Source organism: Homo sapiens, chromosome 2 (assembly GCF_000001405.40).
Source record: "Homo sapiens chromosome 2, GRCh38.p14 Primary Assembly".
Taxonomy (NCBI): domain Eukaryota; kingdom Metazoa; phylum Chordata; class Mammalia; order Primates; family Hominidae; genus Homo; species Homo sapiens.
This window is the reverse complement of record NC_000002.12, coordinates 215906838-215930719: the sequence shown is the minus strand read 5'-3', so window position 1 is coordinate 215930719 and position 23882 is coordinate 215906838. Positions and strand designations below refer to the sequence as shown.

General features: G+C 42.7%; 1 long non-coding RNA gene across 1 annotated transcript, besides 3 other annotated features; it reads right to left on the bottom strand.

Annotated features, from left to right (window-relative positions):
* Positions 2583 to 3109: an enhancer, noted in NCBI's record as "OCT4-NANOG-H3K27ac hESC enhancer chr2:216792334-216792860 (GRCh37/hg19 assembly coordinates)". NCBI's record gives its function as "activates a minimal SCP1, AML or CMV promoter by ChIP-STARR-seq in naive H9 embryonic stem cells {active_cell/tissue: H9 hESC(naive)}" and the evidence as "EXISTENCE:reporter gene assay evidence [ECO:0000049][PMID:30033119]".
* Positions 7519 to 8159: an enhancer, noted in NCBI's record as "OCT4-NANOG-H3K27ac-H3K4me1 hESC enhancer chr2:216787284-216787924 (GRCh37/hg19 assembly coordinates)". NCBI's record gives its function as "activates a minimal SCP1, AML or CMV promoter by ChIP-STARR-seq in naive H9 embryonic stem cells {active_cell/tissue: H9 hESC(naive)}" and the evidence as "EXISTENCE:reporter gene assay evidence [ECO:0000049][PMID:30033119]".
* Positions 8160 to 8799: an enhancer, noted in NCBI's record as "OCT4-NANOG-H3K27ac-H3K4me1 hESC enhancer chr2:216786644-216787283 (GRCh37/hg19 assembly coordinates)". NCBI's record gives its function as "activates a minimal SCP1, AML or CMV promoter by ChIP-STARR-seq in naive and primed H9 embryonic stem cells {active_cell/tissue: H9 hESC(naive and primed)}" and the evidence as "EXISTENCE:reporter gene assay evidence [ECO:0000049][PMID:30033119]".
* Positions 18848 to 22069, bottom strand: LOC105373870 (uncharacterized). The gene is made up of 3 exons (XR_001739231.2): positions 22013 to 22069; positions 19079 to 19162; positions 18848 to 18934 (listed from the first exon to the last, which is right to left on the bottom strand). It is a non-coding gene; the product is annotated as an uncharacterized LOC105373870 (long non-coding RNA).
* Between the last annotated feature and the right edge of the window lie 1813 nt (positions 22070 to 23882).

The following is a 23882-nucleotide window of genomic DNA, read 5'->3' as shown; positions in this document are numbered from 1 at the left end:
CTTGATTCTTCCAGAACAAATATGACTCAGACTTGGAGAGAGCTTTATCTCTGTGCTTCAATAGCAAAAGTACTCAGAACATTTATCATATTGCATTGAAATACACGTTTACATTACTGTGTCCCTGTCCCCCAGAAAAGAAGACCTCTTTTAGGGTAGCACCAAATCCTGGTCAACTACAAATCCTGGTCGTCTTTGTATCCCTGTGACCTGATCTTTTCATAGTGATCGCGCCACTGCACTCCATCTTGGGCAACAGAGTGAGACCCTGTCTCAAACAAAAACAAAAACAAAAAGCAAATATTTATAGAAGGTGTTTGAATAAAAAGAAAAGATTGGATCCAGTTTCTAGTGGGTAAGGCAGATGAGAACAGAGTAGACAAACAAACAAGGTAACTACAATTTGCAAGCAGTGCTGTAACAGGAACACTGGATGAGATAAGGTGGAACTGAGTGGGGCCCCTCTGCACAGGGTGGTCAGGGGCCTCTTCTCTGAGAGAGGTCTGAGTTGGGACCCTTAAAGGATGAGTCACAGCCAGTCAGTCATGCAAAGATGTGAAGGAAGAGGGGCCCAGGCAGAGGGAACAGCAAGTGCAAAGGGCTGGAGGCGATAAAGGCTTTGGCATAGCTGAGGGCGAAAGGGAGCAGAGCATGTCTGGAGTAGCTTAGGGGGTCATGATGAGCAGAGCGCTGGAGGCACGAGGAAGGGTGGATCTTCAGTTCCTGCCTTGTGCGACCAGAGAAGGGTGTCTGCCTTGGAGAGCCAGGAGCTGACTTATGTTGTGAAACAATAACTTGCCATGCATTGCGAATGGATCAGAGGATGGCAAGAATGGGAACAAGATGTGTCAGAATTGAGAGAGGGTGATGGTTTGGACTAGGTTGGTGGCATTGAGGAGGAGCATAAATGGGTGAAGTGTGAGGTGTATTTTGGAGAGGTAATGGACAGGAGTTGCTGATGCATTTGAATTTGGGGGATGGTGCAGGAAGAGGAGAAATCAAGGATGACTCATAGCTTTCTAGCTGTGGCAGAGTGTGGGGCCATTTGCTGAGTTAAGGATGTCTGGGAGAAGAGGCTAGATCAGAACAGAATCAATTTTGGATCATTTTGATGAAACACCATGAGTTCCTCCCCAGACCCCCAACAATTGGAGAACTTATTTTGTTTCTAAGCACAATATTCTAAGTAGAATATTGTGGGGGTTTTTTTGGTAACAGCTTCATTGAGGTATAATTCACATACTATGCAATTCACCTATTTTAAGTATATAATTCAATGGTTTTCAGCATATCCACAGAGTTGCAATCAATTTTAGAATATTTTCATTACCCTAAAAGAAACTGTACCCTATTGCAGTCACACCTCCTTCATTCTTCACATCTACCCTCCTCATCCTAAACCCTAGGCAGCCACTAACGTAGTTTCTGTTTCTAGATTTATGTGTTGTGGACGTTTGTGTAAGTGGAACCTATGGTTATATGGGACCCTTGTTCCTGACTTCTTTCACTTAGTATAATGTCTTGAAGATTCAACCGTATTGTCGCATGAATCATAATTGTATTCCTTTGTATTGTGGAATAATTTCCTTCATTTTTATGAAATAATATTGCATACAATATTATAACATTTTATGCATCCATTTATCAGTTAATGGGCATTTGGGTTTGTCTTAGTCTGTTTGGCTGCCACAACACTCGCTTCAGCCTGAGTGGCTTAAACAACAGACGTTTATTTCTCACAGTTCTGGAGTCTGGAAGTCTGTGATCAAGCGGCTGGCTGATTCAGTGCTCAGTGAGGGAGCTCTTGCAGGACGCCATCTTTATGCTGGATCCTCCTGTGGCAGAGAGAGATGATCTCTCTCCTGTCTCTTCTTCTAACGGCATCAATTCCATTCGCAAAGGCTCCTCCTTCTCCCTAATTACCTCCCCAAAGCCCCACCTTCAAATATCATCACAATGGAGATTAAGACTTCAACATATGAATTTTGGAGACACTCCGTTCATAGTGAGGTGGTTTCCACTTTTGGGGTATTATGAGTAATGTTGCTAGGAATATTTGTGTGCAGATTTTTGTGTAGATATCCAGGAGTTTTGTTTCAACATGAGAATTTTGCAGTGTTTTTAGGACAGTGTTTGTAGGACAAAACAAGCTGCTGCCCTTGATTCCCTGCTCTCTTCTCACAGCTGACCATCCTGTGACCTTTGCCATTGAGTTTAGGAGACTCCATTCCACTGTAGACAAACCAGCCTGAACCCTCGTGTCTCCACCTCGTGTCTCTTTCTGTTCTGTATCCAGCTGCTACATATTTCGGGATGAAATGCCCTGCAGTTGGTCTGTTGGTCGGCATTTTATGTGGGAGTTGGCTCACATTGTTGATGTGTGAAGAATGGTATTGTTGGCTCACGAGAACGTGGGGTGACTTCCTGGAGGAAGTAGGACAGCCTAACATGTATCACGAGAGAGAAGCTATGAGGGCAAGAGAAGCTGCATCCACGAGGCAGTCCTGGGTGGGACCTCCAGCTCTCCACTTCCTAACTTGGGCAGATTGCTGAAACTTCCTGGCCTTCATCTGTAAAATGGCAATGCCAAGTTTCATGCGCGTCCGTGTGAAGAGACCACCAAACAGGCTTTGTGTGAGCAACATGGCTGTTTATTTCACCTGGGTGCAGGCAGGCTGAGTCCGAAAAGAGAGTCAGCGAAGGGAGATAAGGGTGGGGCCGTTTTATAGGATTTGGGTAGGTAAAGGAAAATTACAGTCAAAGGGGGTTTGTTCTCTGGCAGGCAGGAGTGGGGGTCACAAGGTGCTCAGTGGGGGTTCTTTTTGAGCCAGGATGAGCCAGGAAAAGGACTTTCACAAGGTAATGTCATCAGTTAAGGCAAGGACCGGCCATTTACACTTCTTTTGTGGTGGAATGTCATCAGTTAAGGTGAGGCAGGGCATATTCACTTCTTTTGTGATTCTTCAGTTACTTCAGGCCATCTGGGCGTATATACGTGCAAGTCACAGGGGATGCGATGGCTTGGCTTGGGCTCAGAGGCCTGACATTCCTGCCTTCTTATATTAATAAGAAAAATAAAACAAAATAGTGTTGAAGTGTTGGGGCGGCGAAAATTTTTGGGGGGTGGTATGGAGGGAGAATGGGCGATGTTTCTCAGGGCTGCTTCAAGCGGGATTAGGGGCGGCGTGGGAACCTAGAGTGGGAGAGATTAAGCTGAAGGCAGATCTTGTGGTAAGGGGTGATATTGTGGGGACGTTAGAAGAAACATTTGTTGTATAGAATGATTGGTGATGGCCTGGATATGGTTTTGTATGAATTGAAAAACTAAATGGAATAACAGAAGGAGAAAAACAGGTATAAAAGGTCTAAGAATTGGGACAACTCAGGATATCTGATTAGAGAGTGCTTAAGGAGATTCGGCAGAGTCCTGCCGGCAAAGATTATTTATTTACTTCAAGAGTTAAGAGTGGCAGTTTGGGGATAGCACCAGGAGATATCAGCTGTGATGGCTTGGAAAAACAGTGTAAACAAGAGCAGGGCATGTATGAGTAGTTGAGAACGGTGAATAGGAGTATGACTAGACAGAAAATAGTAGGGATGACAAGTTTTTTTTTTGGTGGGGGGCACAGTCTAAGTTGGTCTGGTGTCTGGAATGAGACTGGGGCCTAATAAAAAGGAGCGTCTATACAGGAGCTTAAATGGGCTGTACCGTGTAGCATTCCGAGGACAGGCCTGAATTCTGAGAAGGGAAAGTGGTAGAAGTATTGTCCAGTCCTTTTTAAGTTGGTGGCTGAGCTTGGTGAGGTGTGTTTTTAAAAGACCTTTAGTCCGTTCTACTTTTCTTGAAGACGGAGGACCGTAAGGGATATAAAGGTTTCACTGAATACTAAGAGCCTGAAAAACTGCTTGGCTGATTTGACTAATAAAGGCTGGTCTGTTATCAGACTGTATAGAGGTGGGAAGGCTAAACTGAGGAATTATGTCTGACAGAAGGGAAGAAATGACTGCAGTGGCCTTCTCAGACCCTGTAGGAAAGGCCTTTACTTATTCAGTGAAAGTGTCTATTTAGACTAAGAGGTATTTTAGTTTCCTGACTCGGGGCATGTTGAGTAAAGCTAATTTGCCAGTCCTGGGTGGGGCAAATCCTCGAGCTTGATGTGTAGGGAAGGGAGGGGGCCTGAATAATCCTTGAGGAGTAGTAGAATAGCAGATGGAACACTGAGAAGTTATTTCCTTGAGGATAGATTTCCACAATGGAAAGGAAATGAGAGGTTCTAAGAGGCGGGCTAGTGGCTTGTACTATAGCATAACCTGCCTTTGCTGGTGTGTGGCGATTAGGCCTGGTGGAACTGCCATCAATAAATCAAGTGTGATCAGGGTAAGGAACAGGAAAGAAGGAAATTTGGGGAAATGGGGTGAATGTCAGGTGGATCAGAGAGATACAGTCATGGGGGTCAGGTGTGGTATCAGGAATAATGTGGGAGGCCGGATTGAAGTCTGGGCGAGGAACAACGGTAATTGTGGGAGACTCAACGAAGAGTGAGTATAGCTGAAGGCGCCGGGAAGCAGAAAGTATATGTGTCAGGTGTGAGGAAGAAAATAGATTTTGGAAGTTATGAGAACTGTAGGGAGTGAGTTGAGCATAGTTTGTGATTTTGAGGGCCTCTAAAAGTATTAAAGCAGCGGCAGCTGCTGCACGCAGACATGAGGGCTAGGCTAAAACAGTAAGGTCAAGTTGTTTGCACAGAAAGGCTACAGGGTGTGGTCCTGGCTCTTGTGTAAGAATTCTGACCGCGCTAACCATGCCTAGGAAGGAAAGGAGTTGTTGTTTTGTAGAAGGTGCTTGGGTTTGAGAGATCAGTCGGACACAATTGGCAGGGAGAGCACGTGTGTTTTTATGAGAATTATGCCGAGATAGGTAACAGATGAGGAAGAAATTTGGGCTTGATTGAAGTAATGGGGGCTGTCTGTGAAGCTTTGCGGCAGTACAGCCTAGGTAATTTGCTGAGCTTGATGGGTGTCAGGGTCAGTCCAAGTGAAAGCGAAGAGAGGCTGGGATGACGGGTGCAAAGGAATAGTAAAGAAAGCACGTTTGAGATCCAAAACAGAATAATGGATTGTGGAGGGAGGTATTGAGGATAGGAGAGTATATGGGTTTGGCACCACAGGGTGGATAGGCAAAACAGTTTTGTTGATAAGGCGCAGATCCTGAACTAACTTGTAAGGCTTGTCTGGTTTTAGGACAGGTAAAATGGGGGAATTGTAAGGAGAGTTTATAGGTTTTAAAAGGCCATGCTGTAGCAGGCGAGTGATAACGGGCTTTAATCTTTTTAAAGCGTGCTGTGGGATGGGATATTGGCGTTGAGTGGGGTAAGGGTGATTAGATTTTAATGAGATGGTAAGGGGTGCATGATCGGTTGCAAAGGAGGGAGTAGAGGTATCTTATACTTGTGGGTTAAGGTGGGGGGTTACAAGAGGAGGACGCAAAGGAGGCTTTGGATTGGGAAGAAGGGCGGCAATGAGATATAGCTGTAGTCCAGGAATAGTCAGGGAAGCAGATAATTTAGTTAAAGTGTCTCAGCCTAATAAGGGAACTGGGCAGGTGGGGATAACTAAAAAGGAGCACTTTAAAGAGTATTGTCTAAGTTGGCACCAGAGTTGGGGGGTTTTAAGAGGTTTAGAAGCCTGGCCGTCAATACCCACAACAGTTATGGAGGCAAAGGAACAAGGCCCTTGAAAAGAAGGTAATGTGGAGTGGGTAGCCTCCGTATTGATTACGAAGGGGACGGGCTTACCTTCCACTGTGAGAGTTACCCGAAGCTCGGTGTCCCTGATGGTTTAGGGGGCTTCCGAGGCGATCGGGCAGTGTCAGTCTTCAGCCGCTAAGCCGAGAAGATCTGGGAAGGAGTCAGTCAGAGAGCCTTGGGCCAGAGTTCCAGAGGCTCTGGGAGTGGCTGCCAGGTGAGTTGAACAGTCCGATTTTCAGTGGGGTCCCACACAGATGGGACGTGGCTTAGGAGGAATCCCGGGCTGCGGGCATTCCTTGGCCCAGTGGCCAGATTTCCGGCAAGTGTAGCAAGCTCCTGGGGGAGGAGGTTCTGGAGGAACGCCTGGCCGCTGCGGTTCAGGCGTTTGGAAGTTCTTGTGTGCTGGAGATGTGGCTGGGGTTTGTCTCACAGTGGAGGCAAGGAATTGCAACTTTTTTCTGTTATTGTACACCTTGAAGGTGAGGTTAATTAAGTCCTGTTGTGGGGTTTGAGGGCCAGATTCCAATTTTTGGAGTTTTATTTAATGTCGGGAGCAGATTGGGTAATAAAATGCATATTGAGAATAAGACGGCCTTTTGACCTTTTAGGGTCTAGGGCTGTAAAGCGTCTCAGGGTTGCTGCCAAACAAGTCATGAACTGGGCTGGGTTTTTATATTTGATGAAAAAGAGCCTAAACGCTTCTGATTTGGGATAAAGAAAAAGGAGCATTAACCTTGACTATGTCTTTAGCTCCAGCCACCTTTTTAGGAGTAAATTGCTGGGCAGGAGGGGCAGGGCTAGTTAGGGAACGAAACTGTAAGCCGGACCAGGTGTGAGGAGGGGAGGTGATAGAAAGATTATAGGGTGGAGGAGCGGAGGCTGAGGAAGAATTGGGACCTAGCTCGGCCTGGTGAGGAGCAGCCTGGGGAGGAAGGGAGAGGTCAGATGGGCCTGTAGAAAAGGAAGATTAGAAAGACTCAGCGACGCTTGGGGTTGGTGCTGAGGGGACAGGCGGGAGGGAAAGAAGGAAGATTTGGGACGAGTTGCATTGGGCACAGAGACTAGGAAGGGACTGATGTGTGAAAGAATGCCTGGACGTCAGGCACCTTAGACCGTTTGCCTATTTTATGACAAGAATTATTTAGATTTTGCAGGATGGAAAAATTCAAAGTGCCAGTTTCTGGCTATTTGGAACTACTGTCGAGTTTGTACTGGGGTCAAGCGGCATTGCAGAAGAAAATAAGGCATTTAGGTTTTAGGTCAGGTGTGAGTTGAAGAGGTTTTAAGTTTTTGAGAACAGAGGCCAAGGGAGTAGAAGGAGGAATGGAGGGTGGAAGGTTGCCCATAGTGAAGGAAGCAAGCCTAGAGAAAAGAGAGAGTAGAGAAATGGTGGGAAGGGGTTCGGGGGTTCTTACCTTCCAGAAAAGTGGGAAAAGGGGTTGGGGCACAGAGATAAGAGGTCGGGGTGCAGAAATAAGGGATTGGGGCGCGGAGACATAAGAGGTTGGGGCGCGGAAACAGGATTGGGGCACAGAGATACAAGGTTGGGGCACGGAAATAAGGGATTGGGGCACAGAGATAAGAGGTTGGGGTGTGGAAATAAGGGATTGGGGGTTCTTGCCCCATAGAAAAGCGGGACTTGCCGCTAAGGGTGAAGGAGAAGGGGTTGAGGGGTACTTGCCCCTCTCCCAGAAAAGCAGAGAAGGGGTAGAGACAAGGAGAGAAGGGGTTGGGGTACTTGCCCCTTCCCCAGAAAAGCAGGACTTGCCGCTAAGGGTGAAGGACCAAGGCAGGCGTCCTTGCGTGGTCTGACACCCTTGAAACATGAGTGTATAATCAGAGAGGCTTCTCTGCAATGATTAAACACCAAGGGAAGGCTGCCTTCCTAGTCTGTGACCGGCGCCGGAGTTTTTGGTCCACGGATAAAACGTGTCCGTGTCTCCTTTGTCTCTCCCAGAAAATGAAAGGAATTGAAATTAAGAGAAGGGAGAGATTGAAGAGTGGGAAGGAGAAAGTGGTTGAGGGACAGTGAGAGAGGTTGGAGAAGAGAGTAAGAAGAGGCCGCTTACCTGATTTAAAATTGGTGAGATATTCCTTGGGCTGGTCGGTCTGAGGACCTGAGGTCATAGGTGGATCTTTGTCATGGAGCAAAGAACAGGAGTACAGGTGAATGATCTCCCAAGGGAGGTCCCCCGATCCGAGTCACGGCACCAGATTTCGTGCACGTCTGTGTGAAGAGACCACCAAACAGGCTTTGTGTGAGCAACATGGCTGTTTATTTCACCTGGGTGCAGGCGGGCTGAGTCCAAAAAGAGAGTCAGTGAAGGGAGATAATGGTGGGGCCGTTTTATAGGATTTGGGTAGGTAAAGGAAAATTACAGTCAAAGTGGGTTTGTTCTCTGGCAGGCAGGAGTGGGGGTCACAAGGTGCTCAGTGGGGGTGCTTTTTGAGCCAGGATGAGCCAGGAAAAGGACTTTCACAAGGTAATGTCATCAGTTAAGGCAAGGACCGGCCATTTACACTTCTTTTGTGGTGGAATGTCATCAGTTAAGGTGAGGCAGGGCATATTCACTTCTTTTGTGATTCTTCAGTTACTTCAGGCCATCTGGGCGTATATACGTGCAAGTCACAGGGGATGCGATGGCTTGGCTTGGGCTCAGAGGCCTGACACCAAGTAAGATTTATTTCATCAAGCTTTTCCTAGGAGTAAATAAGATCATGCTAAGCACCGTCCTGGTGTATAGTAATTTCTCAATAATGGAGGTTTATTATTATTTTTATGTAGCCACCTCTTCATGGGCTATAGCTTATTCAACTCAACATAAATTCATTCCTCTCTGGCCAGTCTGGCCATCTGCCAAGTCTGGTGATTCACTCTCCATCAAAAACACATGGAGGTCAGCAATGTGGCTCATGCTTGCAATCCCAGTGTTTTGGAAAGCTGAGGCGGAAGGATCAATTGAGCCCAGGAGTTCGAGACCAGCCAGAGCACCACAGTGAGACCTCATCTCTACAAAAAATTTAAAAAATAACTGAGTGTGGTGGCATGTGCCTGTGGTTCCAGCTACTCAGGAGGCTGAGATGGCAGGATTGCTTGGGCCTGGGAGGTCGAGGGTGCGGTGAGCCATGACTGCGCTACTGCACTCCAGCCTGAGTGATAGACGGAGACCTGTCTCAAAAAAAAAAAAAAAAAACACCAAAAAACAAAAAACAACACCACCAACAACAAAAAAAACAAAAAAAAACAAGCAACACCACCAACAAAAAACAAAAACAAACAACACCACCAACAAAAAACAAAAAAAAACACCACCACCAACAACAAAAAACAAAAAAAAACAAACAACATCACCAACAACAAAAAACAAAAAAAAACAAACAACACCACCAACAAAAAACAAACAACACCACCAACAACAAAAAACAAAAAACAACACCAACAACAACAAAAAACAAAAAAAAACACCACCAACAACAAAAAACAAAAAAAAACAACACCACCAACAACAAAAAACAAAAAAAAAACACCACCACCAACAACAAAAAACAAAAAAAACCCAACACATGGATAATAAGACATGCTTCATAGGTTACTATAGATGTTAAATTAGATAAGAACTGTAAAGGATTTAGCATAAAATACATCATCAGTCAATGATAGCTATGACTGCCCCTTTGTTAAGAATGTATCTTTTTTTTTTTTTTTTTTTTTTACTGTAAGTTCTGGGATGCATGTGCAGAACGTGCAGGTTTGTTACATAAGTATACATGTGCCATGGTGGTTTGCTGCACCCATCAACCCGTCATCTACATTAGGTATTTCTTCTAATGCTATCCCTCCCCTAGCCCCCACACTCCCCGACAGGCCCCGGTGTGCGATGCCCTCTGCCCTGTGTCCGTGTGTTCTCATTGTTCAACTCCCACTTATGAGTGATAACATGCAGTGTTTGGTTTTCTGTTCTTGTGTTAGTTTGCTGAGAATGATGGTTTCCAGCTTCATCCATGTCTCTGCAAGAAACGTATCTTTGGAATGTCTACTATGAATTGCTGTTCTAGTCATGGGAATGCAGCAGTGAATAGAATGAGGTTTCTACCCTTGAGGAATCCACATTATCACCATCATTGTTATTATTGCCAATCTGGTCTGTGCTTTTAGGAACAAAAGGGAAAGGAGAACTAGGCATGTCTCAGGTGATGCCTAAGTAGGAACATTGGCTGTATTTCTACTTTACCCAGAAAAGCAGACTCAGAGCTTTGGTCTTTTTTCCCCTCATAGGAACAGACAAACAAAAATTCCAAAAGAATTTGAGCTGTTAGGATCACAGCCTGTTGACTCTTCCCTTGGACTTTCCCATAGTCCTTGCCTGGGTCCCTGAAGAGTCCCACTGTTCAGTCAAGGCTGTCTGCTCACAGACTACAGTGAGGAATTCTGCTCCATGTGTACTGTTTTAAGTTGAATTGCCTGCAAACTTAAAAATTATTATTGATGTTCTCAACTGTTTACTAGTGTGGCAGCGACTATGATTTGTGCTTTAATATTGTTTTCAAAGCCCATTTACTTTGTAAGTTCAATTCTAAAGTGCTCAGAGGGATTCCCAAGTGGCAGACGCTAATGGATGGCTGTGCTGGATGGCTCGTCAGAAGATGGCAGTAGAGACACGTGTATGCAGACCCGGATCTCTTAGGCAGGGTTTGTCATACTGCACAGTATTCAAAAAACAAATTTATTGTTGCTCTTGTTTGGTTTTTCATGTAGGCCTCATAGATAATCCACTTAGGTGCTTCTTCTAGAGCCCTGAGAGGTCCGCATCCTTCCAGTAACAGGACATTTTAAGGGATCCATTTGTAAAAGTGAACAAGATTGTTTGCAGATAGGGTCTTCCATCCCTTCACAATTGCTCAGTAAATTGTTGCTGATTGACTTGTGGTAGTAGATTAAAAGTGATTAACAAGAAGCAAAGTGATGGTTCCTGCCTTGCAGGTTTTTAATAGGTTTTAAGCTTATTCATAGGTTTGTGAACAATCCAGAACATTGAATGAAAAAGGACTGGCAAGAAGAGGATGGACATGAAAGTAGATTTTATTAGATTACAGATATTAAGATTCTTGTCCTGGATCATTTTTGTCATCTCTGCAAGGACGATCAGAGCAGAGCCCTGCTGCCCTTGCAGGAAAGAAAAGCCTCTGCAGCTTCTTTCCAGCGTCTTTGAGAAAATTTTTATGTCGCACGATCTGCTGACTGCCACTTGGTGCCCTGTATGGATTTTCTAGAGAGTTTGATGGGCAAGAAGAAAATATGCAGACGCTTCAGAATCCATGACACACGTCTATTTTCCAGCGTTGGCTCTGCCATAACCCAAAGAGAGGTTTCAAAAACAGAATGAAAGCATGCACTACTATAATAAAGTGGAATGTTAGGGGAGAAAAAAGAGGGTAGTGGAGAACATATGGTTCTACTGCATGAAATGCTGAGTGTCTCTTGCACAGGCATTTGCATGCAGGGCCAGATACGTAATGTGCAGGGCCCAGGGCAAAAGGAAAATATGGGGCCTCTCATGCAAAATTATTGAGAATTTCAAGATAGTGAAGCAGAGGATTACATCAAGTACAGGAACTGTTCTGAGTATGGGACCCTGCTCATGTGCATAGGTTTCACCCCTATGAAGCCGGCAGTGTGTTTGTGTGTGTGTGTGTGTGTGAGAGAGAGAGATGGAAACAGAGACATACACAAATATACACATGAGAGAGGGAGGAGCTTTCTTAACGTTCTGTTTTTACTGCTTTACATTTTAAGGCAGAGATTCTCAACCTTTGCACTAACTACATCTTGGAACAGATAAATCTTAGTTGTGGGGGTCATCATGTGCCTCACAGGGTGCTCAGCCTTCTCCTTCTTATTTACCCACTACATGCCAGCAACACCTCCCAGTGCCAGTTTTGACCATCAAAAATATCTTCAGACACTTGCCACATGTTTCTTTGTGGGGCAAAATCACCCTGGTTGAGAATAACTAAGATAAGATTTCCCACATTCCCAAAGAGAGCTTAATGGCCTTTCTTTCTTTCTTTCTTTCTTTCTTTCTTTCTTTCTTTCTTTCTTTCTTTCTTTCTTTCTTTCTTTCTTTCTTTTTCTCTTTCTTTCTTTCTTTCTTTCTTTTTCTTTCTTTCTTTCTTTCTTCTTTCTTTTTTTCCTTACCCAAGCATGAATAAAATATGAAAGACTCGAGCCCAGTGGGTGCAAAATACCGACTATCCATACAAGGCTCATCTGGTTTGGGGTGAAGGCCCATCCCGGTTCTTCATATGCGCACCTTGTTCTGGCTGCCTTGGGTGAATATGCATTTCACAGATTGTCTGTTCTCTGAGCCCTGAAAATGTATCCTTTAATCTTCAACTCAGAAAACCCCTTGACTCTGGAATGAGACACCAAAGGCCTTCCAGTGACAGGCTGGGAGAGAGCTGTTTGGATTGCTAATTTGTTTTCACTCTTTAGTCTGTTTTTCCTTCGTGCTGATGTTCCTCTTTAGACCTTGAGTATGAATAATTCTGCATAGCCTGAGGGGAGAAGCAGGAGGCCTGCTTGTAGAGTTGTTTGTACTGTAACGAAATAGAAAGTTTAAAAGCTTACTGAGCCTGAGCAGTTGAAAAGGGAGGGAGGTCTAGTAAGCACTTTCAAAATTACTCATAAAACATGACAAATTCTGGATGTCTCTTGGTGGTCAGGGAAATGAATTGCCCATTTCACTTAACAAAGGCACCCCCAAGCAGAACAGCTCCCCGAATGTCCAAGGCAGAGAAAAGTCCAAAGGCAGAGAGGTCCAATGAAGAATGCTCATCAAGATAGCCTTCCTAACTCTGTATTTCATGGAACTGTGAACTTGAAAGCCAAAGTAAGCCCTGACATTTTCTGGCTTGTGAGTAGTAACTTGATAGCTACTGTGTGAGATATCTCACTTCTCCTATTTCATATTCAGAGGGGTTCTGGTCTGGAGATGGTTGGACTTATTAAAACTTAATGACTCCTGGCTAACACACGGTGAAACCCCGTCTCTACTAAAAATATAAAAAAATTAGCCGGGCGTGGTGGCGGGCGCCTGTAGTCCCAGCTACTCGGGAGGCTGAGGCAGGAGAATGGCGTGAACCTGGGAGGCGGAGCTTGCAGTGAGCCCTGATGGCACCACTGCACTCCAGCCTGGGCGACAGAGCGAGACTCCATCTCAAAAACAAAAACAAAAAAACAAAAACTTAATGAGAAAAACTTTAAGGACCTTACGCTTGAGTGCTTTGCTGAAACTTTAGTTGCGTTAACTAGCCACAGGCTGGACGTCTCCTGCAGAACAGTTGTCCTGAAAATGTACAGGTTTATTATGTGCTGCATGGCTACATTGTATTATAAATACTCATTTATGTGAAAGTGACCCTTTCAAACTGTGAGCTCTTTGAGGTCTATGAATTCCCAGCAAATAAAACAATGCCTACCCTATAGTAAATGCTCAATTAATGACCTGAACTCATTTCAAGCCATAAAATAGATGAGATGAAAGAGTGGGGATCAGTTAAAAACATCCTCATTAGTTCGCACCACTGCACTCCAGCCTGGGCAACAGAGCGAGACCCTGTCTCAAAACAAACAAACAAACAAAAAACATTCTCATTAATGGAAGGACAAATTAGCAACCTGTCATTTTAATAAAAGATGAAAGGCAATACAGAGTGGCAGAATAGAGTTTTAACTGCTCTTCCTCCCCTTTCACCGAAGGGATCTTTGACTACTGGAAATAGCATAACACACTCGAATTTTGGACTGATGGATCACGAATACTAGCACTGGGAAGATTTATTTAATTTTTGTAGCTGTAATATGCTGAGGGAACAAAAGAATTAAAATATTCTCCTCTTCTCCTTTCAGATAGAATTGGCTGCCTAAGAATCTGCCCTAAGTGTTACAGGAAAGGGGTCCCGACCTGTACCCCAAGAGAAGGTTCTTGGATCTCGTGCAAGAAAGAATTCAGGGTGAGTCCATAGAGTTAAGTGAAAGCAAGTTTATTAGGAAAGTAAAGGAATAAAGAATGGCTACTCCATAGAGCAGCCTCGAGGGCTGCTGGTTGCCCATTTTTATGGTTATTTCTTGATGATATGCTAAACAAGGGGTGGATTATTCATGCCATATAGGCATGTAGATAACCAGTAGTGATACAAACAGTTCTTTGTCCATAGACATGCAAGTAAATTTTGTTTTCTGTAAATACACCATTGGTATTTCTCCATAACCTATTTTAGACCACATAGGGTAACTTCCTGAAGTTGCCATGGCATTTGTAAACTGTCATTGTAAACTGTCATGCGCTGGTGGGAGTGTAGCAGTGAGGACAACCAGAGGCCTCTCTCTTGGTTTTGGTGGGTTTTGAGGTCTCTCTCCCTCTTGGTTTTGGTGGGTTTTGCCAGCTTCTTTACTGCAACCTGTTTTTATCAGCAAGGTCTTTATACCCTGTATATTGTGCTGACCTGCTATCTCATCCTGTGACTTAAGAATGCCTTAACTGTCTGGGAATGCAGCCCAGTAGGTCTCAGCCTCATTTTACCCACCTCCTATTCAAGATGGAGTTATACTGGTTGAAATACCTCTGACATAAGGGTAAATGGCTAAAAAGACTGAGAAGACTTTAGGAGTGGAAGTGAGGAGAGAACAAGGTAGAGACCAGACAGGAGGGGTTCTTTGACCGCCTGAGGTGGACTCCATGGATTCTTCAATGAGGAAAGTAAAGAACAATTTTGTACTGTTCTCTGGGTTTTATAATTTCCAAAATAGAATAGAATCACAAATCTCAAATATAAAATCAATACACATTAGAGATTTTATTTAAATCATTAATTAATGAAAGAACTAGTAAGATGTTACAACTAGTTCAAAGGAAAATTTAAAGAACCAGCAAACGACGTTGCAATAAATTTACAAATAGATGCAAAACTGTCTCATTCCACAGTGGGGGAGGAAAACCAATGGTGTATTTTCAGAGAACAAAATTGACTTGCATGTTTATGGACAAAGAACTGTTTGTGTCACTACCAATTATCCACAACTTAAAGAGTTGTAAAACACTGAAAGTCAAGGAAAGGCACAGAGGCCTCATAGAATCACATAACTTGAAATGATGTATTTAGACAATGTCTAGTTCTCCACTGAAGACACCTTACAATAACTTTGGTCCATTTCAAAGTATTTTACATTTTTTTGCTTTATTTATATATGTTTGATTGTCTGATAGTCACACTTTGTTTGAGGTAACAGACTGTACTTTCAGGAAAAGAAACTGATCTGTAACTTCCTCTTCGAACAACTTCAGCAAGCCAGGATGAAACGTTTGTGGGTAGTGTCTTAGTCCATTTAGAGTTTCTATACAGATATACCTGAGGCTGGGTAATTTATGAAGAAAAAAATGCTTATTTGGTTCACGATTCCGATGGCTGGAAGATTGGGTATCTGCTGAAAGCCTCAGGCTGCTTCTGCTCCCGGTGGAAGATGAAGGGAAGCTGGCGTGTGCAGAAATCACATGGGTGAGAAAGGACGTGAGAGAGAAAGGAGCGGTACCAGGCTCTTTTAAACAACCAGCTCTCGCTGGTACTAATAGAGCGAGAGCTTATTCATGACCATGAAGACAGTGTCAAGCCATTCATAAAAAATCCATCCTGGCTGGGCATGGTGGCTCACGCCTGTAATCCCAGCACTTTGGGAGGCCAAGGTGGGCAGATCATGAGGTCAGGAGATCAAGACCATCTTGGCTAACATGGTGAAACCCTGTCTCTACCAAAAATCCAAAAAAAAAAAAAAAAAAGAAAAAGAAAAAAATTAGCCAGGTGTGGTGGCAGGCACCTGTAGTCCCAGCTACTCAAAAGGCTGAGGTAGGAAAATTACTTGAACCTGGGAGGCGGAGGTTCCAGTGAGCCGAGACCACACCACTTCACTCTAGCCTGGCAACAGAGCGAGACTCGGTCAAAAAAAAAAATCCATCCCCATGACTCAAACACTTCCTACTTCCTATTAGGTTCTGTCTCCCACAATGGGGATAATTTTAATATGAGGCTTGGGGGGACAAACATGTAATCTATAGTGGGTAGCTTTCAGGTTAAGGGGGAAGGGTGAGCAGAAGTCCATTTTGTGTGGCCATAGGGTGTGCATAGGTATACCTCTTCTGAGACAACAGTTACAGTTAAGTTTTGGACCAAATATTAACCTAAGTTGTTGCATCTAGTGTAGTCTCTGCTCTAACTTGAGCTACATCCTGTGGGCACATGAAAATCTTGAAAGGTTACAATTTGGAGTTCCTTCAAGAGCAGAAAAGCATAGCATCCCTCTTCCACAATTTTTTTTTTTTAAGTGGTCCTGTGGGTAGGCTCTGCTAGGTATTAGGGAAAGAAGAAGTGTCTGTCAGAACAGTGCTTAATGCAAAAAGGGCTTGGATACATGGAGAGGAGGTCTTTGAAGTGAAAGGAACATCATGAGAGGAGAGCACTCAGAAACCTCCACAGTAATGGTTTTCTGAGAACATGTATTCTTTCTTTTTGTTAAAATAATTAATTAGGAGGCTATTAGACTGGCTACTATGTAAGCAAATGGAAACCCAAGTCAGCGTAAACGGTCATATTCTAGGAGAATGAAACTTAAGCTTAACCAACCAGAACTGCCAATTAATTTCTAATTAGGGACTTTCCACTGGAATAGTCCAAATTAAACTTCTGCTCCATTTTAACCAATTATATTTTCTTTACCTTGCTTCTGAGAGTCACCCTATGAAAGTTTCACCCTATGAAAGTCTTCCTCTCATGCCCTATTGGTGGAGCCCAAAACACCTGCGATCTGGAGCTTCCTGATTCATGAATTGCTGTCTGCTCAAATAAAATTTCAATGTGGCTAACTTTATCTTTTAACACTTTCATCAGAGTATTGTCGCAAGGATGTAAAAATATGTATAGCTGAAAACTCAGTTCTGACTGGTTTTTTTTTGACCTCATAGCTCAGACCAAAAGAGGCCATTTAAAGTTGAGTAGTGAAAACAGAAAAGAAACTTAAACTTTTTTTTTTTTTTTTTGAGACAGGGTCTCACTCTATCACCCAGGCTGGAGTGCAGCAGCACAATCATGGCTCACTGCAGCCTTGAACTCTTGGGCTCAAGCGATCCTCCTGCCTCAGCCTCCCCAGTAGCTGGGACTACAGGCATGCACCATCATGCCAAGCCAATTTTTAAAAATTTTTGTAGAGATGGGGTCTTGCTATGTTGCTCAGGCTGGTCTCAAACTCCTGTGCTCAAACAATCCTCCCATCTCGGTTTCCCAAAGTGCTGGGATTACAGGCATGAGAGGAATTTAAACTTTTTAAAGATGGAGACATGGATATTTAGTTAGGAAAACCAATGTGCCTGAAGTGGCTCAGTATTTCTGAGTCACGAGATCATGGATGACATTAGTGGTGAATACAAAATCATCCTCCAGGTTTGGATTTGAAAGGTGACTCCTGAGAATTTACTTTTTGATGGGGGCATTTAGTGCAAGCTATTGCTTTAAATCACAAAGCTCTATCTGCATACTCATTTTTTTTTTTTTTTTTGCGCTTTCTCCAGTAAGTAAACATTGGTGGAGAGGTTTATCTTCTCCTTGCATTAGAATTTTTGAAACTCCATTATGAATAATAGTAGTTAACTGAACTCCAAGTCTTAGCACTTGGTCTGAAAAGAAAGGAAGAAGACACCAACCTTCCTTTAAAACCTTTAAGTTTTTTTTTTTTTTAAAATACAACGTGTTTGCTACATTACATCTGTGCATTACAGATAGCTTGAAAGCCAGACGTAATTTGTGATTCTAACTAATTTTCATGATTTTAGCTTTAATGCAAAATAGCTGGGGTTTTTGGATTGGGTTAGGATCTTGCTGTAAAAGTATGAAAATGAAACTGTAGACTTTATCTCCTTTCTGAGTAAACATACAGACAAAAATATGTCTGTGAAGCTTGAGAGCATATGATAATTTTTTTTTCTTATGGGAATACTTAGCACAATAATGAAGTTAACCCAGAATGGAGAATTACTTCTTTCTGCATTGTATTTATATCAAGTCCAATATCTCAAAAAGAAGTTGGCTCAGAATCGTTGATTTAAAATAGGTCATTGGTGAATTAATGAAACATAACACCCCAAATTCTCAGCTGAATTAAATAAATAAGCCAGATAGAACCCCTGGTAGATACAAATGTCTAGTTTATATCTCCCAAGTTACTAAGAGAGTGATTACTGAATCGGGGAAGAAGGGCAGAGTTTGACATATGGAGTGATTTATGAGTCCCTGTTCCACGGGAAAACATCAGGCTAAAATCAATTCAGGTTTTACTTGCATTGTATTCTCTTTCAAACTGGATAAGGATTCAGGAATAGTCGGTATGTTAGGTGTGTAAAGATACAAATTCACATCGTGTGCTTGGAAGTGTTTCTCCTCCTGTAGGTGCGTCTCAGTAGTGCATGAATAAGATTGAGGAGGACAGATGAGGTGGTCTCCACTTCTTAATCAATACTAGAAGCTGAAGTTGAAATGAGAGAATGGATAATTGAAGATATTTTAACATTCTCTTTGGCACCTAGAAAAAGTGGGAGTTATGGTTTTTGAGAATTGTGCATTCAGATTTACCACACCTATAGGACAGCTGGAAAGAAGACAAGTGAGAAAAACAGAGACACAGAGAAGGGCTTCAATTCCTTAGTGGTCGCACATTCCTAGGCTACCCGGCAATGGCCAGGTCCCTGGCTGTCATTTGGTCTTCAAGTCCTCTGCTGCTTGTAAAAGAGATTAAGGGCTAAAGTGCTCCCTGGTGAGGTAGAAACATCAACTTTTGCTTGACCTGATAGAACTGTAAGGCTGGAATATCCCTGGATGGTTGTTCCAGAAGAGCCAGCTTATCCGTCCATTGCTGTTATTCTTATTACTAAAAATGTATTTCCACTTGACAACAGTGGCTGCTGTAAAATCGCCTCTCCAGTGACAGTTGTTTCAAGGAGCAGAACTGCCTGAAGTCCCAGAGTGTCTGCTAATGGTTGTCTTCTGGGTGCCTCCCAGATGGCTGGAGGATTATGGCCTCTGGGATTTCCCCTTCTTGCCTGGGGTGTGAGGTTGACGGTAGAGAGGATGCCAGATCCAAGGAGCTCCTGAGGGACGATAGCACAGAAATTCCGAGTGGGAAATGGAAGGGCTAGAATCGCAGTGGTGCCATAAACTTGAAATTGAGTGTTGAGAATAGAGAGGTTGAGAAGAGAGCTGAAATGATTGAATAATATTAACAGTGTACCAACCTTCAGATATCTCCTTCTAACTACATATAGGAACAACTGGGCTGTGACTCGTGAGGTCATTCCTTATATTTTGAGACCTAGAATCTGTAAGACAGAAAAATATGTCACAGAGCAGTGAGATTGTCCCTTGCAGCATCAGCCGGGTATAATTGATGGCCATGGTATGACCTAAGAGGTGTGAGTGTGAGCTAATGAGACTGGCTCTTGTGTGAGGATTAAGTAATTTGTGCCTTCTTCATGGTAACACTTCATTTAATGTTCTGAAAACAGTGAAACACAAAACCAGTGGGAGGCAAGAGAAAACCCTCTTTCATCCTAAATCAGTGGCTGAAATATCTCAATTCAGAGCGGGTCCACCCATACCTCTCAAATCTTACGGTAACTCTTTAAACTGGGGGAAAAAAGGGATTCAAATTCACCCCATCTTTAAGCAAATTATTTTTCTTTAAAAATAATTTAAAAAATACTTTAATAGGGTTCAGAACACATTACCCCAAGTCATCCCAAAATATGCCTCTTTGGCATAAGGATTATTTTGAGCTGGTTATTTTGAGAACCTGCAGACACAGCAGACACTTTGAAAACAGAAGTTACCCTTTTGTAAGAGAAATTTATACCTATGAAGGAAATCTTCACTTTTAAGGATATCTCCCTCTCCATACCAGGAAGATAGGGCTGACTGAATCACTAGAGACTCTTATCAATGGAGAAAGTGTGGACTTACATCTGCAAAATAAACCTGGTTCTTGTTTATTGCACTTTTCCTGAACACCTCCCCATAACCATGTCTTTCTCCACACTCCTCTTTCTTTGTTTCAGGGGACAATAGTATTTAAGTCTGAAGTCTAAGACAATTCTTTATCTAGCCTTGAGATTTAATCTTTGAGATTTCCCAAAGTTATTGCTCGTGTATACAGGAGGTATACATATTAATAAACTTCTGTTTATTTTTCTCTTGTTAATCTGTCTTTTGCTGCAGGGAATCCCAGCTAAGAACCATGGAGGGTAGAGAGGAAATTATTTTTCCTCTCTTATACTTACTTGCACAGGGCAAAACTTTTAAGTTAGCACATAGAAATGTAGAGGAAAAGTAAATTTCCATCCCCAACCCCTAATTCTTCTTCTCAAAGACAATAGCTGAGGGTATTTTCTGGTATAAGCTACCAGAGGCAGTCTTTCCAAATTCAAATGTGTATGTGTGTGTTTATGGATCTATCATCTTTTTGATACACACACTTATGTAAGTACATGTGTGCATATATGTATTTGTGTGTTTCCCTACCCTCATAACTATTAGCATATTATACATACTGTTCAGCACTTTGCTTTTTTACATATCTTGAATAGCATTTCCTATGTTTGTCTCATTTTTTAATGCCACAGTGAATATTTTAATACACATTTCTTTTTACATAAATATAAATAAATCTGTGGGATCAGTTCCAAAAGAGTAGAATTTCTGTGTCAAAGAGTATATACATTTTTAATTTTGATATATATTGACAAAATTTCCTCCAATTCACACTTGCAGGGGAGAAAAGAGATTGTTTGCCGTATACCCATCTAGGTTCTATGGCTAAGACCCATGAATCAAACTGATAAAAGACAGATTGATAAGAGAAAAAGGTTTTAATTACAGATGTATGCATGGGAGTTCATAAAGAGAATGATGGCTCAAGGAGGTGGCTAGAAGATGGAGGCTTATATACTATTTTTGGGTAACCAAAGAAAAAACGATTTGGGGCTTTTGGACAGGGCAGCAAATTATGGAAAGGTGAAGATGTAACCGCCCAGTGGGTTCACTTTGCCCACTGCCTAGAGATAGCTGATTTATCAACACAGGGAAATTGCCGTGGAGAAAGAGTAATTCACACAGAGCCACCGGAGTTTTATTATTACTCATATGAGTCTCCCCAAGTGTTTGGAGTTCAGAGTTTTTAAAGATAATTTGGTGAGTAGGGGGCTTTGGAAGTGGGTAGTGCCGACTGGTCAGGTTGGAGATGGAATCGTAGGGGGCTGAAGTGAGTTTTTCTTGCTGTTTTCTGTTTCTGGGTGATGGTTGAGCCAGATTACCAATCTGGGTGGTGTCAGCTGATCCATCAAGTGCAGGGTCTGAAAAATATCTTAAGCACTGATCTTAGGTTTTATAACAGTGATGTTATCCCCAGGGGCAATTTGGGAAGGTTCATACTCTTGGACCCTAAACTGTAAATTCTAATCTTGTAGCTGATTGGTTAGTACTGCAAAGGCAGACTGGTCCCCAGGCAAGAAGGGGGTCTTTTCGGGAAAAGACTTTTATCAATTTTGTTTCAAAGTCAAACCATGAACTGAATTTCTTCCCAAAGTTAGTTCGGCCTGTGCCAGGAATGAACAAGAACAGCTTAAAAGTTAGAAGCAAGATGGAGTTGGTAAGGTCTGATTTCTTTCACTGTCATAATTTCCTTGGTTATAATTTTGCAAAGGCGGTTTCAAGGAGAGAAAATGTTTGGTAAATAAAGATCATCTTTTATTCAGATAAGAGTCTCTCATGTGATAAGAATTGTCTCTGGAAATAGCTCTCTTCCTGGTTAAGAGACATCTTTACAAATGGAAATTCCTTTAAAAATGTATATTTCCTTTATGCAAGGAGAAATTTATACACTGTTTTTAGGCATTTTGACGGGGGATAAAGAGGTTTTTCTGTATCTGCTGGTTCTCAGTTGTCTTTAGCTCAGAATATTCTCTATGCCAAAGTGGCGTATTTGGGGCCACATATTCTTCACACTCACACCAGCAATGCCTCAAAGTTGTTTTTCCCTTAAACTCCTGCTCACACAGTCCAGGTTTTTGATAGAGCTAACAACAATTTAATTTCTTCTTTCTGTCTCTCTCTTCCATCTATCCAAAGTGGGGTTTTTATGTAATATTAGCAACTTTCAAAAAACAAGTTGTTACCTAGATAATGCAGCTCTTCTTACATACTGTTCCTGTTGTCTGAAGTTACGGGAGCTGCAGTATTAACAGAATAAATGCAGTTGATTTGATTTGGTAGAAATGGCTTGAATTTAATCTAATATTTGATTCTAATTTAATTATACAATTGTCCTAAGTCCCACTACTGAAAGCAAGAGGACATAGTTCTTACTTCCAGGTAGCTTAAATTGTTCAGCAATTAAAAGGAAAACAAAAGACCTGGAAGAATTGTTAGTAAGATGCTTTGAAATATTTGTGGACAAAAGTGTATATCTGGATATAAATCTCTTTATGGCATACACAATTGCATGAACATCAGCATATACTTGTTTGCCTGAGGCCTGAATGGAATCTGAATGTGATAAAAAATAAAGGAATAGACCAGCAGTGAATTGAAGCTGTCCTTTTGGTGGTCAATTCCAAGGGAGTGAGGAGCAGATTGGAATTGAGCAATGGGAAGAGTATAGTTGGCTTTTCAGGAATTTGGCTATGATAGGAAAAGAGAAGGAAAGGAGGATAGGAAAGGAGAGTCATTGGAAAAGAGAAAATACAAGACTCAGAGGAAAAAGGTTGTGGTGCAGCTCAGAGAGGCTGGGCTCCCAGGTATGAGAGGAAAGAAGGGAGGACACTGCTGATAAAGGGAAGTGGGCAATTAGTTATGCCCATTGAGATAGCTCAGAGCGGAGGTAAGAGAATTTGGTTTGTTTAATAGAGGGGATACAGGACTCGGATGTCAGCCAGGTGTAAACCCTGGGTCAACCACCCCTAGGTTTATGACCTTTACATGTCTGGGTTTTCTTGCTTATAATGGAGGTGTCATGGTTATCATAAGGCTGAAGGTTTGAGGCACAGGAAGATGTCTGGTTCCATTAGCTTGGGAACACAGAGCACAGTATCAAAGATGATGGCTTTGGGAGATGTGGATGGACAGGGAACAATGATATAGGAGTTAAAAAGGAATTATTTAGGCAGATGGTGAGTGTATGAGAGTCCTCGGTAAGGTTTTCTTTTGAATAAAAGGCAGCCCCCACATCATTTTCTTTTCTAACAAAGAGCAGCCTGTAAAATCAAGCTGCAGACATAGACAAGCAAGCTGGAAGCTTGCATGGGTGAATGCCGGCAATTGTGCCAATACGAAAAGGCTATGTGGGACTAGGTGTGTTCAAAATGCTGGTTCCATCTCCTCTTCTCTTTGCCAGCCACGTGTACAGTAAGAAGCAGGCGACATGGCGCAGGCCAGGCAAAAACCTCATTTGCATAATAAGATTAGGGTGGGGCAGCCAGTTTCCCCGTGCATTATGTAAACATCACACCTGGCCCAACCAATCTTTGGGCCCTATTTAAATCAGACACCGCTTCCTCAAGCCTGTCGGTAAAATCTGGTGTGCTCCGCTATGGGTCAGAAGTCCCATTGGGGTGCCCCCTCTGTCCCAGGAGAGAGAGCTGTTCTCCTTTCTCTTTCTTTTGCTTATTAAACCTCTGCTCCTAAACCCACTTCTTGCGTCGGTATGCTTGATTCTCTTGGCCTGAGACAATGAACTTCAGGTATTTACCCCAGATGACACCACTTCAACATTGTAAAGCCCATCTTTAAAATACAGGTGTTTAAATACATCTCTGCATTAAAGGAATGGTTGAAGGGAAAAATCCCAAGTAGCCACGTGAATATGGCTATTTAGAGACAACCATGACCACTGTTTAAAAAGTGATCTATGCCTGTTCAATAGGCAGTGGAGGTAGCTTAGGAAAACTACTGGCAGGACTGGACTATAAGCACAGAGATATGTCAAACAGGACCGCATGTGCAAATCTCCTTTCAGAAAGAACGTAAACTTATGCTTTTGGTCCATTT